This window comes from Homo sapiens, chromosome X, assembly GCF_000001405.40.
Source record: "Homo sapiens chromosome X, GRCh38.p14 Primary Assembly".
NCBI classification, from domain to species: Eukaryota; Metazoa; Chordata; class Mammalia; order Primates; family Hominidae; genus Homo; species Homo sapiens.
The window spans coordinates 105,204,817-105,220,937 of NC_000023.11; the positions used below are offsets into that span (position 1 = coordinate 105,204,817).

General features: G+C 43.5%; 2 protein-coding genes across 3 annotated transcripts in view; one reads left to right on the forward strand and one right to left on the reverse strand.

Annotated features, from left to right (window-relative positions):
• Positions 1 to 16,121, forward strand: part of IL1RAPL2 (interleukin 1 receptor accessory protein like 2) — a 1,201,631-nt gene that overhangs the window by 638,618 nt on the left and 546,892 nt on the right. The window lies entirely within an intron of this gene.
• Positions 14,113 to 15,878, reverse strand: TEX13A (testis expressed 13A). 2 transcript variants are annotated; one of them, NM_001291277.2, is made up of 3 exons: positions 15,779 to 15,878; positions 15,147 to 15,587; positions 14,113 to 14,942 (listed from the first exon to the last, which is right to left on the reverse strand). In NM_001291277.2, the coding sequence occupies exons 2-3, from the start codon at positions 15,579 to 15,581 to the stop codon at positions 14,148 to 14,150; spliced, it is 1,230 nt and encodes a 409-aa protein (NP_001278206.1). In that variant the 5' UTR covers positions 15,582 to 15,587; positions 15,779 to 15,878; the 3' UTR covers positions 14,113 to 14,147. The 2 variants fall into 2 exon arrangements, with proteins under 2 accessions (NP_001278206.1, NP_112564.1); NM_031274.5 differs by having other exon boundaries at positions 15,147 to 15,613.

The window sequence follows — 16,121 nt, forward strand, 5'->3', positions numbered from 1 at the left end:
CTGAACTATTGGTTCTGACTCCAACATTAGCCTAGGGAGTGATGGTATATTATGGCTGTGTGACCTTTGCCTTGCTTTTCCTCACATGGAAAATAAAGACCCATTTGGTTATTCAACTTAAAATATTTTGAACACTTGAATTAGGTGTTGAGTAAATGCATTGAATGAGAGATTAAAGTAATGGAGCTTCCATTCTAGAGTTGGGAAAACATATAAATAATGCAATCACAAGACTACACTGGGTAATCGTAATTCTACAGTGGTGAGAGTGAAGAAGGGTCATGTTAGGGGAGTGACTGACTGAGAGGCCACTTTCAGTTAGGTGATCAAGAAGGGCTTCACAGAGAAAGTGACATACAAACTGAGACCTGAATGACAAGAAGGAGCCAGTCTTGTGAAAATCTTGGGGCAGAGTATTCCAGTCAAAGTGAATGCCATGTGTAAAGGTCATGAAATGGGAACAGGCTTGATTCGAGAAAGCTAAAGAAAGGGCTGGGTGCAGTGGCTCACACCTGTAATCCCGGCACTTTGGGAGGCTGAGACGGGCAGATCACCTGAGGTCAGAAGTTCGAGACCAGCCTGGCCAACGTGGTGTAACCCCTGTCTCTACTAAAACTACAAAAATTAGCCAGGTGTGGTAGTGCACGCCTACAATCCCAGCTACTTGGGAAGCTGAAGCAAGAGAATCGCTGGAACCTGGGAGGTGGAGGTTGCAGTGAGCTGAGACTGCGCCACGGCACTCCAGCCTCGGCGACAGAGCAAGACTCTGTTAAAAAAAAAAAAAAAAAAAAAAAAAAAAAAAAAAAAAAGTGCTAAAGAAGGGCAGTTTGGTTGGAGTGTGGTGAGCTGGGGAATAATGCTACTAGATAAGGCTGGAAAAGCAGGCAGAGAACAGAGGACAGATGCTGTTGCATATTGTGGACCAGAATAAAAAGTTGATTTTTAAATTAGTAATCAGAGATAAAATGAGTATTTATTTTTGTTAAACTGGAGAGTAACATGATCCAATTTCCATTTAAAAAATGATTACTTTGGTTGCCTGGCGAGAATGGACTACAGGGGGAGAAGCAAGAAGACCAAGTTGAGAAGCAATTGTATTAGTTGAGGAGAGATGTGATGGTAGCTTGGATTGTGGTGGTAGCTATAAAAATAGGGAGACATGAATGAATCCCAGATATATATTGAAGGATGAGCTGATAGGACGTACTGATGTCCTGGATGTGAGAAAAAGCTGAATAAAGGATGACTCCTGTTGCTTTTGACTGAAGCAACTGTGTGAATCATGGTGCTATTAACTGAGAGAGAAGACCTGGAGATGAACAAAGATCATAGTACCTACCTCAGAGAATGTTGATGAGCACTTATCACCAATACTGACATAGAGTAAGCACTCCATACATTATCTCTTATTTCTACTTTTACTACCACCACCACTGCTACTACTAGCTATAATTTTTTAGCTTTTATTATATGAAAGTATTGTGCTAATCCTTAGAATAATTCAGGAGGTAGGTCATATTATTGAAGATGATAAAACTGATACTTAGAGAAGTGAAGAACTTGCCCAAGGACACATGGGTAGTAAATGATGGAGCTGGGATTTGGAAAGGTTTGACTCCAGAGCTCATACACATTATCAGTTTTCTCTACTGTCTTCTCAATTATTATCTGTTTTCACTGTTCTTTATAGTAATCTGTATTTGTATATTACAACAAATGAGATATGGTTATTTACATTAATTCTTGCCTATATAAAGTTCTGTGCTTCTGTGTGTTTTTAGTTTCATCAGTGAACATTATTGTCTGGTGATGAGGATAGAATTTTATTGATTAAAGATGGATAATAGAAGGCAATGAAATAGAGATTCCAAGTTCATGAAAAGTGATGATTAAGTTAAAGCAAGAATTTTCAGAGAACTAGTCTTCTTGTTTTACCAAGTTTAAAATCCTTTGTGATCACTTTTCAGTTTACATATGCAGAAGTGCTTAAAAGTTGTTTTCCACCAAAGAATAGAGATGAATTTTGAAGCATATATATCCTTAAATGGCTCTTTTTGTCTGTTTACTCTGACTTCAAAACCTCTAATATATAAGACTCGTGATGAATCAATTAGAGAAACATATACATCAGTATATGACAAAGTGCTAGAATGAATATAATCAGGTGTCATAAATGTATGGTTATCTTTTTCAAAAACTCATTGCATGACACTACTTCCCTCCATTCACCTTAAAGTTGAAAATGTTCATGGTGGAACACAAATGAGATCTCATTCCTTCCTAACTACAGTTTTGTTTTGTTTTTGTTTGTTTTTAATAAAAGCGATGTTTTTCAGCCAATATCCTTTTAGGTCTCAGGTATTTATTATTCATTAAACAAATATTTATTGAGTACCTCCTGTACAGAGGGTACTAAAAAAAAAGCAAAAGTGAATGATAGGGCTCCTGACTTATAACAAATTAAAAGGGGAATTAGGACATGTATACAAATCACAATCAAACAAGCATAACTCCCATGTGGTTCATCATTAAATTGTATCCTAGAAAACATAGTCTAGCAACTAAACATATTTTTTAAAGTCTGAGGATAGATTTAACGTAGTCCCTTGAAAAATATCAAAGGTAAGCCCATTTGTAACCCACAGCAACAAAAATCATTGTTTGACATTACTATCACTCCTAGTATCTCTTGTATGTTTCAGCTGCCCAGAAACCTCTCTCATTGCTCCTCTTGTTACCTGCTAAAAAACTCTTCCTGGAATGCATCCCCTATAAGTTTCTTCTCTTTTTGCCCTTTCTCATCCTCTAGCACTTTTTTCCTTTCAAGAAGCTCTTTTTTGCCCTTTCCAATGTAATTTAATTAAACTAGCAGTGCTTCTTGCAATTCTTCAGCTCTTTCTGCCCATTACTCCTATTCTGCACAATAAAATCTCAGGAACTAACCTGCCATACCAAGGATCTTTGTAAAAGTTGTTGCATTTAAAAAGACCAATGCAGTGAAAAAGAGAATTATGTTTAGAAGGCAAGAAGAAGGGAAAAGCTGCAAACACTTAACTTGATGGCTTTTATTCCATCATACATGAGGGAAAGTGATACGTGCTATAGGAAAGATAAAGTAATAGTACAGTAAAAAGTAGGAAAAATAGCTTTTGTCTTATAGAATCGTGCTTGCTTCAGATGGCTCTTGAGGATCTAAACAGGTGGTGATAGTAGAGGTCTTCCCAGGCAGATAAAACAATGTCCCAGGGCAAGGAGGTAGTAAAACATGGGCCATGCACAGGGAAAAACAGGGAGGTAAATTTGGTCGGAACCTGGATTTATCGAGGCGTTTTTTTCTGAGTATGAACCTAACAATAATACTTGCTTTATGAAGGTTTCAGATGTTTTTGAAACATGAGATTTTAGACATTGAGCAATTCTTAGAAAAGAAGCTAAAAGACTCAACTAATGAGCACCTTAACTTGCAGTCAGGTAATAAGGCACGTTTTTTGCAGATGATGTTTCCACAGAGAAAATGTATATTTAAAGGAGGCAAATTCCCTTCTATGACCTGACCTTCATTAAAGAAAGGCAGTGCTGCTGACTAAAGCGTTGTTAGTCTTAGCATGTACTCCAACCAGTTTTCTCACAGGTGTTGATAAATTCACATGGAACCATCCCCACTCTCTCACCACACCGAAGAGTGATCCACCTTGGTAGGATGGCTCATTAATATTCGATGGGTATAGTCTGTATCTATAAATATGAGACAGAGAAAAGCTAAGTGAGAGGGGTAATGTATATTTCCACCTTGGGGCCTTGATCACATTCAAGCAAGACCCAAGCCAATACAAATCTACACACTCGTTTCCAGACCAGATCTCACTCTTCAACACTAAGGCAATATACACTTACCTGAGTATAGAGATATAGTATATACATTTTTAATTTTTTATTCCTGTTACCCTGATCCCATCAGTGCCTTCCCTTTACTTCCTACAAGGAAAGTGGCTTGACCATGTTTCATATTTACATTATTATCTTTTACTCTTGAGCAAGAGATCTCTCCTCCTTTTAAGCTCAATCTAAAGCTTGCCACTTAAGCACCATGCACACTGTCCACACACAGGGCAGCCTTTCCATACATACTGATTGTTGACTTATTGGCTGAAACCCTCAGATCAGTAGGGTCCAGACGTTTTCATTTTGCTCACATGAATCTTTTTTTAGTATATTGTTTTACCAATAGAAATAGATGACAGGAAGGCAATTTTACGAGGTGACAGTCCAAATAATAATATTGGCAACGCCAGTATTTTACAGCAGGGTACAAAGTCACAGAAAATTCTGATTTTTAAGCATTTAGGGAAGCTTCTATATTAGGTAATGTCACTATATACACACTCTGCTCAAATTTTGACTTTGATCCCACATGACATGAAACAAAGATAAAAAAAATCACTGCTGTTTCTAAATAAAATATAGTTTAATTTTACTTTCCATTATTTTAGAGACAGGTATAGCCAAGTTTGACTTCCTGGCATGTGGATGGGTGATCAGAAAAAAAGAGGTCAATGAAGGCTTCCCTGGTTTTTGCCTTTCACCACTTCACTTGTTGTTATCTCAAATGGCAAGCCCAGAGAGGACCATTACAGCTTTTCTAGAGGTAAAACTCACTGTTTTTGACCAAGGCATTGGTCCCCATGAAATATCCATCCCCTTCCCTCACCCATCAGAGCTGGGCCTTTCTCCCAGCAGCATTGTTTTTAAAGCTGTCTTCCTCTGTAACTGCCCATCTCACTAAGCATGCTTACTCAAGGGCTCAAAGGTCAGGTCAGATTGCTTCTGCTGGGTTTGTAGAGGATATTCAGTGATGGAAGTAGAATTAATTTTTATGTATTAAAACCTTTCCTCTGGACTTACAGAGAAAAAAACTTTAATAGGCATAACACAGGAAATCATGAAAATGTTAATATCTTTCCATAATCCTGCCAAATATAAAACCCAAATCCAAGCAAACTGATTTAATGTTTTACTGAAAAAAAAAGTTATGAAAACAATTTGTACGACCAGAGAGATAAGTGTCTGGTTCCCTTCCTGGAATTATTCACCTTCCTTTCTAGTGCCCCCTCCTAGGGTCCCACTGCTCTCCCCTTTGATTTTCTTTCAGTTGGGCCCTACCCCAATCGTGTTTTTTATGCAGCTTGATGATCCTTTCCTCCCCCTCCTCCAGTCTCCACCCCATCCCCTAAGTTATTCCTAAAGGTACCACTGTCCCACCACCACCCTGACCTTATAGGTCCTTACTAACCCTCAGGTGCCTTGTCTAACAGACACAAAGGCAGGAAACCCCTTGGGTTCCCACCCCCTTACCACACAGTGTCTGCTCTCCTTTTCCCTTCTGTTCCAGAGGAAGAAGTGGCCTTTCCAAACCCATCCACCTAGTAAATTAACTTCTTTATATTGTTTTGTATTTCTGTGAACATTTAATTACTTTACTGTCACAAAACACAAGAATATAAAGAAGTAAAGGCCCTCTATCTCATGCCCCCTACTCTACCTCACTCCACCCTATACCCTAATGTCCCACTGCCTACCATCATTTGACCCCTGAGCCTACCCTCCCTAGGTTACTCATAATGATTTTGCCCTCTAGTGGACATTCGGCAATATCTGGAGAGATTTTTCGTTGTCACAATTTGGGTGGGGTGGGAAATGTACACTACTACTGGGCATCCAGTTAGTTGAGGCTAGGGATTTTGCTAAACAACCTACAATGCACAGGATGGCCCCCAGAAATAAAAAAGCATATGGCCCCAAATGTCAAGCATGCCAATATTGGGAAACCCTGCCCTAGAAGGATATAGACAAGCCCGAGAACATTTTTGACGAGTACAAACTCTTTAATAACTAGTTAGGGAACTGGCCCCAAGTCCTGAATGACTGTCATAGATTCAACAGGAAACAAACTAATGTCACATCTAGCTGCTGCAGAGATGTCCCAGGGCCATGACAGCTTCTTAGTCACTAGGTCCACATGCCCCAGGTGATGTCCAAGGCTCCTCCATTTGTGTCTCAATCTGGTTCAGGTCTAACTCCTCTCCATCCTTCCACCTGTTAGCTAAAACATACATGTACCCCCGATCAACACAGCTTACAGTCATCAAAGGGATAGAAGGAGACCAACCTGCCACCCACCTTTTGACCCCACCCACTCCTATCCTCCCCCACCTCACCCCTCCCTCTGAAAGTTGATTTCCCACTGGGATATGTTTCTGTTCTGTTTCACATTTCTAAATTCACTAAGAGCTTTGTAGCTAGATTTTCCTCCTACATTTATCATGGTGGTGGGTTGGAAGAGAAATTCCCTCAGGATGATGGCATCGTGCTTTTGCCCATGGTCTAAACCAGGAAACCCTCTGAGCACTATCAGTTGCTGACTCACCTCCTTGGCAGTGGCAGGAGTTCTCTGTTCAAATCTGACTGTCCCTGGTTCTGCTCACTTGGGATTGAGGAGGATTCTGCTGTCATGAGAGCTGTAGAGTCATAGCAGTCCTCGCCTGGAGCTGGTGCTGGCATCCTCTGTATGTAGCCCTGAAGGATTCCCTCAGGAGTAGCAAAGCACTGCCATGTCGATTTGAGTCAATCATAAACCTGGGGTTAACCCCAGGCCTGTTTTGATTGTTTGTCATGATATAACTCACTCAGATCATGAATGAACTTTCTATCCAGTTCATTCCTAGAGACTCCTGGAATGCAGGAATCTCCACTACTCACCATACCCTGATGCAACTCCCCAGCTGGTTCGAACATATTATTTGATGGTCTCTTATTTGCAACTGCTCTCCTGGTACCAATTTCTGACATAAAAATAATCTGATGGGGAGGCACCAAGATGACCGAATAGGAACAGCTCTGGTCCACAGCTCCCAGCGAGAACAATGAAGAAGGCAGGTGATTTCTGCATTTCTAACTGAGGTCCCCAATTCATCTCAACAGGACTGGTTAGGCAGTGGGTCCAACCCATGGAGGGTGAGCAGAGGCAGGGTGAGGCGTCACTTCACCCAGGAAGTGCAAGAGGCCAGGATCTCACTCGCCAAGCCAAGGGAAGCTGTGAGGGACAATGCTACCCAGCTGGGTTACTACGCTTTTCCCACAGTTTTTGTAATCTGCAGATCAGGAGATTTCCCTTGTGTGCCTACACCACCAGAGCCCTGGGTTTCAAGCACAAAACTGGGCAGCTGTTTGGGCAGACACTGAGCTAGCTGCAGGAGTATTTTTTCAAACCCCAGTGGCACCTGGAACCCAAGCAAGACAGAACCGCTCACTCCCCTGGAAAGGGGGCTGAAGCCAGGGAGCCAAGTGGTCTCGCTCAGCAGGTCCCACTCCCACAGAGCCCAGCAAGCTAAGAACCACTGGCTTGAAATTCTCACTGCCAGCACAGCAGTCTGAAGTCAACCTGGGATGGTCAAGCTTTGTTGGCGGAGTGGTGTTCGCTGTTACTGAGGCTTTAGTAGGCAGTTTTCCCCTGACAGTGCTAAGGAGGCTGGGAGGTATGGACTGGGTGAATTCACCACAGTGTGGCAAAGCGGCTGTGGCCAGGCTGCTTCTCTAGATTCCTACTCACTGGGCAGGGCATCTCTGAGGGAAAAGTAAAAGCCCCTGTCAGGGACTTACAGACAAAACCCCCATCTCCCTGGGACAGAGCACCTCAGGGAAAGGGCGGCTGTGAGTGCAGCTTCAGTGGACTTAATTGTTCCTGCCTGCCTGCTCTGAAGAGAGCAGCTGATCCTGACAAGAGGGACTCTCCCAGCACAGCACACTAGCTCTGCTAAGGAACAGACTGCCTCTTCAAGTGGGTCCCGGACCCCCATGCCTTCTGACTGGGAGAAACCTCCTAACAAGGGTTGACAGACACCTCATACAGGAGAGCTCCAGCTGGCATCAGGTTGGTACCCTTCTGGGATGAAGCCTCCAGAGGAAGGAGCAGGCAGCAATTTTTGCTGTCCTGCAGCCTCCACTGGTGATACCCAGGTGAAAAGGGTCTGGAGTGGACCTCCAGCAAACTGCAGCAGACCTGCAGAAGAGGGACGTGACTGTTAGAAGAAAAACTAACAAACAGAAACCAACAACATCAACATCAGTATCAAGGAGCCCCACACAAACACCCCATCCAAAAGTTATCAACCTCAAAGATTAAACGTGGATAAATCCACAGAGATGAGGAAAAATCAGTGCAAAAATGCTGAAAATTCCAAAAGCCAGAATTCCTCTTCTCCAAGTGATTGCCACTCCTCTCCAGCAAGGGCACAAAACTGGATGGAGAATGAGATTGACAAATTGACAGAAGCAGGCTTCAGGAGGTGGGTAATAACAAACTCCTCTGAGCAAAAGGAGCATGTTCTAACCCAATGCAAATAAGCTAAGAACCTGATAAAAGGTTACAGAAACTGCTAACTAGAATAACCAGTTTAGAGAGGAACATAAATGACCTGATGGAGCTGAAAAACACAGCACAAGAACTTTGTGAAGCATACACAAGTATCAATAGCCAAACTGATCAAGCAGAAGAAAGGATATGAGAGATTGAACATCAACTTACTGAAATAAGGCATGAAGACAAGATTAGAGAAAAAAGAATAAAAAGGAATGAACAAAGCCTCCAACAAATATGGGACTATGTGAAAAGACCAAACCTATGATTGATTGGTGTACCTGAAAGTGACGGGGAGAATGGAACCAAGTTGGAAAACACACTTCAGGACATTATCCAGGAGAACTTCCCCAACCTAGCAAGACAGGCCAACATTCAAGTTCAGGAAATATAGAGAACACCACTAAGATACTCTTCGAGAAGAGTAACCACAAGACACATAATCGTCAGATTCTCCAAGGTTGAAACGGAAAAAATATTAAGGGCAGCCAGAGAGAAAGGTCAGGTTACCTACAAAGGGAAGCCCATCAGACTAACAGCAGATCTCTCTGCAGAAACCCTACAAGCCAGAAGAGAGTGGGGGCCAATATTCAACATTCTTAAAGAAAAGAATTTTCAACCCAGAATTTCATATCCAGCCAAGCTAAGATTCATAAGCAAAGGAGAAATAAAATCCTTTATAGACAAGCAAATGCTGAGGGATTTTGTCACCACCAGGCCCTGCCTTACAAGAGATCCTGAAGGAAGTACTAAATATGGAAAGGAAAAACCGGTACCAGCCACTGCAAAAACACACCAAAATATAAAGACCTCTATGAATAAACTGCATCAACTAATGTGCAAAATAACCGGCCAGCATCATGATGACAGGATCAAATTCACACATAACAATACTAAACTTAAATGTAAATGGGCTAAATGCCCCAATTAAAAGACATAGACTGGCAAACTAGATAAAAAGTCAAGACCCATCAGTATGCTGTATTCAGGAGGCCCATCTCATGTGCAAAGACACACATAGGCTCAAAATAAAGGGATGGAGGAATATTTACTAAGCAAATGGAAAGCAAAAAGAAGCAAGGGTTGCAATCCTAGTCTCTGATAAAACAGAGTTTAAACCAACAAAGATAAAAAAAAAAAAGACAAAGAAGGGCATTACATAATGGTAAATGGATCAATGCAACAAGAAGAGCTAACTATCCTAAATATATATGCACCCAATATAGGAGCACACAGATTCATGAAACAAGTTCTTAAAGACCTGCAAAGAGACTTAGACTTCCACACAGTAATAGTGGGAGACATTAACACCCCACTATCAATATTAGACAGATCAATGAGACAGAAAATTAACAAAGATATTCAGGAACTGAACTCAGCTCTGAACCAAATGGACCTAATAGACATCTACAGAACTGTCCACCTCAAATCAACAGAATATACATTCTTCTCAGTGCCACATAGCACGTACTCTAAAATTGACCACATAATTGCTAGTACAACACTCCCTAGCAAATGCAAAAGAATGGAAATCATAACAGTCTCTCGGACCACAGTGCAATCAAATTAGAGCTCAAGGTTAAGAAACTCACTCAAAACCGCACAACTACATGGAAATTGAACAATCTTCTCCTGGGTAAATAACGAAATTATGGCAGAAATGAAGAAGTTCTTTGAAACCAATGAGAACAAAGAGACAATGTACCAGAATCTCTGGGACACAGCTGAAGCAGTGTTAAGAGGGAAATGTATAGCACTAAATGCTCACAACAGAAAGCTGGAAAGATCTGAAATCAACACACTAACATCACAATTAAAAGAACTAGAGAAGCAAGAGCAAACAAATTCAAAAGCTAGCAGAAGACAAGAAATAACTAAGATCAGAGCAGAACTGAAGGAGATAGAGACACAAAAAACCCTTCAAAGAATCAATGAATCCAGGAGCTGATTTTTTGAAACGATTAACAAAACAGATGGACCACTAGCTGGACTAATGAAGAAGAAAAGAGAAGAATCAAGTAGACACAATAAAAAATGATACAGGGGATATTACCACTGAAACCACAGAAATGCAAACTACCAACAGAGAATACTATAAACACCTCTACGCAAATAAACTAGAAAATCTAGAAGAAATGGATAAATTCCTGGACACATACACCCTCCCAAGACTAAACCAGGAAGAAGTCGAATCCCTGAATAGACCAATAACAAGTTCTGAAATTGAGGCAGTAATTAATAGTCTACCAACCAAAAAAAGCCCAGGACCAGACGGATTCACAGCCGAATTCTACCAGAGGTACAAAGAGGAGCTGGTACCATTTCTTCTGCAACTATTCCAATGAATAGAAAAAGAGGGAATCCTCTCTAACTCATTTTATGAGGGCAGCATCATCCTGATACCAAAACCTGGCAGAGACACAACAAAAAGAGAAAATTTCAGGCCAATATCCCCGAAGAACATCGATGTGAAAATCCTCAAGAAAATACTGGCAAACAAAATCCAGCAGCACATCAAAAAGCTTATCCACCACGGATCAAGTCAGCTTTATCCCTGGGATGCAAGCCTGGTTCAACATATGCAAATCAATAAATGTAATCCATCACATAAACAGAACCAATGACAAAAACCACATGATTATCTTAATATACACAGAAAAGTCCTTCAATAAAATTCAACACCCCTTTATGATAAAAACTCTCAATAAACTAGGTGGTGATGGAACATATCTCAAAATAATAAGAGCTATTTATGACAAACCCATAACCAATATCATACTGAATGGGCAAAAGCTGGAAGCATTCCCTTTGAAAACTCACATAAGACAAGGATGCCCTCTCACCACTCCTATTCAACACAGTGTTGGAAGTTCTGGCCAGGGCAATCAAGCAAGAGAAAGAAATGAAGCGCATTCTAATAGGAAGAGAGGAAGTCAAATTGTCTCTGTTTGCAGACGACATGATTGTACATTTAGAAAACCCCATCGTCTCAGCCCAAAAACCCCTTAAGCTGATAAGCAACTTCAGCAAAGTCTCAGGATACAAAAGCAATGTGCAAAAATCACAAGCGTTCCTATACACCAACAATAGTCAAGCAGAGAGCCAAATCATGAGTGAACTCCCATTCACAATGACTACAAAGAGAATAAAATACCTAGGAATACAACTTACAAGGGGCGTCTTCAAGGAGATCTACAAACCACTGCTCAAGAGAATAAGAGAAGACACAAATGGAAAAACATTCCATGCTCATGGATAGGAAGAATTAATATTGTGAAAGTGGCCATACTGCCCAAAGTAATTTATAGATTCAGTGCTATTCCCATCAAGCTACCAGTTACTTTCTTCACTGAATTAGAAAAAAAAAAACTACTTTAAATTTCATATGGAACCAAAAAAGGGCCCGCATAGCCAAGACAATCCTAAGCAAAAAGAACAAAACTGGAGGCATCACACTACCTGACCTCAAACTATACTACAAGGCTACAGTAACAAAAACAGCATGGTACTGGTACCTAAACAGATATATAGACCAATGGAATGGAACAGAGACCTCAGAAATAACACCACACATCTACAACCATCTGATCTTCGACAAACCTCACAAAAACAAGCAATGGAGAAAGAATTCCCTATTTAATAAATGGTGCTGGGAAAACTGGATAGCCATATGCAGAAAACTGAAACTGGATCCCTTCCTTACACCTTATACAAAAATTAATTCAAGATGGATTAAAGACTTAAATGTTAGACCTAAAACCATAAAAACCCTAGAAGAAAACCTAGGCAATACCATTCAGGACATAGGCATGGGCAAGGACTTCATGTCTAAAACACCAAAAGCAATGGCAACAAAAGCCAAAATTGACAAATGGGATCTAATTAAACTAAAGAGCTTCTGCACAGCAAAAGAAACTACCATCAGAGTGAACAGGCAACCTACAGAATGGGAGAAAATTTTTGCAATCTACTCATCTGACAAAGGGCTAATATCCAGAATCTACAATGAACTCCAACAAATTTACAAGAAAAAAACAAACAACCCCATCAAAAAGTGGGTGAAGGACATGAACAGACACTTCTCAAAAGAAGACATTTATGCAGCCAACACATGAAAAAATGCTCATCATCACTGGCCATCAGGGAAATGCAAATCAAAACCACAATGAGATACCACCTCACACCAGTTAGAATGGCGATCATTAAAAAGTCAGGAAACAACAGGTGCTGGAGAGGATGTGGAGAAACAGGAACACTTTTACACTGTTGGTGGGACTGTAAACTAGTTCAACCATTGTGGAAGTCAGTGTGGCGATTCCTCAGGGATGTAGAACTAGAAATACCATTTGACCCAACCATCCCATTACTGGGTATATACCCAAAGGATTATAAAACATGCTGCCACAAAGACACATGCACACATATGTTTATTGCGGCACTATTCACAATAGCAAAGACTTGGAACCAACCCAAATGTCCAACAATGATAGACTGGATTAAGAAAATGTGGCACATATACACCATGGAATACTATGCAGCCATAAAAAGAATGAGTTCATGTTCTTTGCAGGGACATGGATGAAGCTGGAAGCCATCATTCTCAGCAAATACAGGAACAGAAAACCAAACACTGCATATTCTCACTCATAAGTGTGAGGTGAAAAATGAGAACACATGGACATAGGGAGGAGGACATCACACACTGGGGCCTGTCAGGGGATGGGGTGTGAGGAGAGGGAGAGCATTACGACAAATATCTAACACATGCGGAGCTTAAAACCTAGATGAAGGGTTGATAGGTACAGCAAACCACCATGGCACGTGTATACCTATGTAACAAACCTACACGTTCTGCACATGTATCCCAGAACTTAAAAAAAAAATCTGTCCACCCACTCAAGTTAGCTAAAGAAAAGAGGTTCTGTGTAAAGGGGATTTTCATGTAGCACAACTGTAGGAAGTGAAAAGTGGTTGTGCTGCTGCTCTCTCCATCTCTCTGGAGTCACAGGATGATTCCTCTGTGCCTGTCTGCTCCCTGGAACCACGTACTAGTGACTCCCAAAGACACTTGCCTCTGGAAAGCACCCAGTTCTATTCCTCCACAGCCAGGGCCAAGCCTCAGCAGTGGCCTCAGCAACCATGGCTCCGGTCCTGGCCCCAACTCCAAGTGGCCTACAGCTTCATTGCTCAACATCATGGAATCGGCCTCTCTGTTCAGAGTGTCTAGCATGAAAAATCCATTTGGCTCTGGATGGGCCAAATATCCACTCCTGCTCCAATCATCTAAGGCCTAGATGCGAGTAGAGGGTGGGGTGTTATACACATGGTTGCCTCTTTTACCAGACACTAGGGCAGGGAGAGAGCGAGCGAGACATACACAAATAAAAGCTGCAGCACTTCTGGGGTATTGAGTGCAAGTGCTCTGGAATACAAAGGGGGTCACCAAAACATGTCTGTCTCCATGTGTCTCTCTCTCCCCACCCCAATCTATACCTCCCCTGGCCACCACCCCACTTCTACACCTCTTTCACAACCCCTACTTTCCTCCCCCTCCTCCAGTCACCACCCCTATCTCTGAAGTTATTCGTAAAGGTACCATTGTCTCACCTCCTTCCCCCACTCTTCCCAGCCTTCTTCCCCTACCACCCCGGCCCCCGCCACCACAAGCCTGCCCTCTGAAAATTAATTCGCCATCGAGATATACATGCTTCGGTTCTATTTTGCATTTCTGCACTCAATGAGGTTTTTGCAGCCAGATTCCCTTCCCACAGTCGAAGCAAGTATCCCTCCGTGAAAAATTCACAGCGTTACACCAAGGGCAGTCCCAGTCCCCTGGCCTGCGATATACTGGAGGTCTTTGCTGATGAGGTTCGGAGTATCTCCTGTCTCTTGGGTGCTCCTGATGGTCTATTCTGTGGGGCCCCCCATCAGACCACAGGCTAGTATCAAAGGCCTCCCAGTCGGAAGGCAGCTGAGGCGGAACTGGTGCTGTGACTGTTGCTTGTGGAGGGGATATAGTGGGTATGTCTGAGAAGGAGGAAAAAGGGCTTGAGTATGAGTATGAGTATGAGGCAGGGAGCTGGACAGGAAGAGGTTCTGATGAGGCTCTGGACCAGGGGTTCGTGGTTCCAGAGAAATAAGATGTGGCTGTTTCGACCGACCGGAGATCTCCCTCCTTCTGCCCCCAATAGGTGTACTTTTCCTGATCAGCATCTCCAAGGAGCTGCAGGAGGATTCTCTCCAGCTTCTCTGTGGTCTCCATGGAGGCAGCCCTGGCCTCCACGTGGGGGAACTGGGTCTCCATGGGGGCAGCCCCAGCCTCCACAGGGGGAGCCATGGCCTCCACAGGGGCAGCCACAACCTCCACATCCCTCTGCTCTTCTTCTGCTCCTTTTCCTCCAGCAGCACCAGCAGCAGCCACCGCCGCCTCTTCTTCCTCCTCAGCTGCTCCTTCTGTGCAAACCCCTCCGGCAGTGGCCAGGCCTGGCCACCCTGCCCCCTGCTCCCACTCATGGGGAGACACCAGCTCCTGGAGAGAAGTGGGCAGGGCTGAGGTGTGTTCTGGGGGCAAGGCGGGAGCACTAAGCAGGGTAGGACGGAGCTACCAGGTGGGAAGGGCGGGGCAGGGCGAAGCCATGGAGCAGGGTGGAGAGGGGTGGGAATGGGGCAGGGCAGTGGTACTGGGCAGGGACCAGTTGAGGGATCTTACTGCATGGAGCGGCTTCCAACTCACCTTGTCTCTCTCTTTCTGCACCTCCACGAGGCTGGTCTGGGCCATTCTTAGCCGGGAGGCCGCCTCCTTGCGTTCCGTCTCCTGCTGCTCCCTGAGCTTCTTCAGGTCTGATGCCAAGGCCTGTGCGGCTGATTTGTGCAGTTTGGCGAAGCCGTGCAGCCACCGCACCCTGTGCCTTTGTAGCTGTGCCTGCCTGTGGGCAAAGCGCACTCCCAAGGCCAGGCTGCCCCAGGTGCAGGCCTCTTTGACCTCACTGGGCACCTCGCTGTCCTCCAGTATGGCCCTCAGCTTGTCTTCCACCTTCTCCCAGGATAAGGATATATTCTCAAGATAGAACTCGGGGCCTTTCGTGTGCCTGGCCATTTTCTCGTTGATGAAGGCCACCACGTTGCTATGCCGGAACCCGCTACTGGGGTCCTCAGGTCTCAAGGCCATGATCGCCTAGGGGTTTAACGGTTTCACTAGCCCTGTGTGGATGGAGCAGCCAATAGGTTCCTTTCCTCCCCCTTAGCCCCTCCCCTCATCCATCTTCTCCCGCCCTCTTGTCCCCGCCCTACCCGCTCTGACAAGACCGTCCTAATGACCCCCTGACCGGCTTGTCCTACCCTAGGACACCTCCCACCAGGCCTCACCTCTTCAGCCAGGGCCAGAGGAAGTACAGGCCAACCCCGCTGTCTTAACACGCCCGAAGAGAGAGGAAGATCTCTCTCCCTCCTAAGGTTCCAGGGAAAGGAAGACTCAGGGCCAACGTCGGCTTTTACTCTGGGACTGTTCCAATTTCCAGAGATACCAGGAGTGGAAGGGAGTGAGTGAGGAAGGCCCCTGCCACTCCATTGGGATTTAAGGGAACCTGTCACATGGTTGGGAGCCCTTAAAGGTCGGAAGAAACAGGAGTGGTCAGAAAAGACTTAGAACCAAGAAAATTAAGCCCTTATAATCAAGTCAAAAAAGTCCCATGTATCCCTCCCTCTTGAC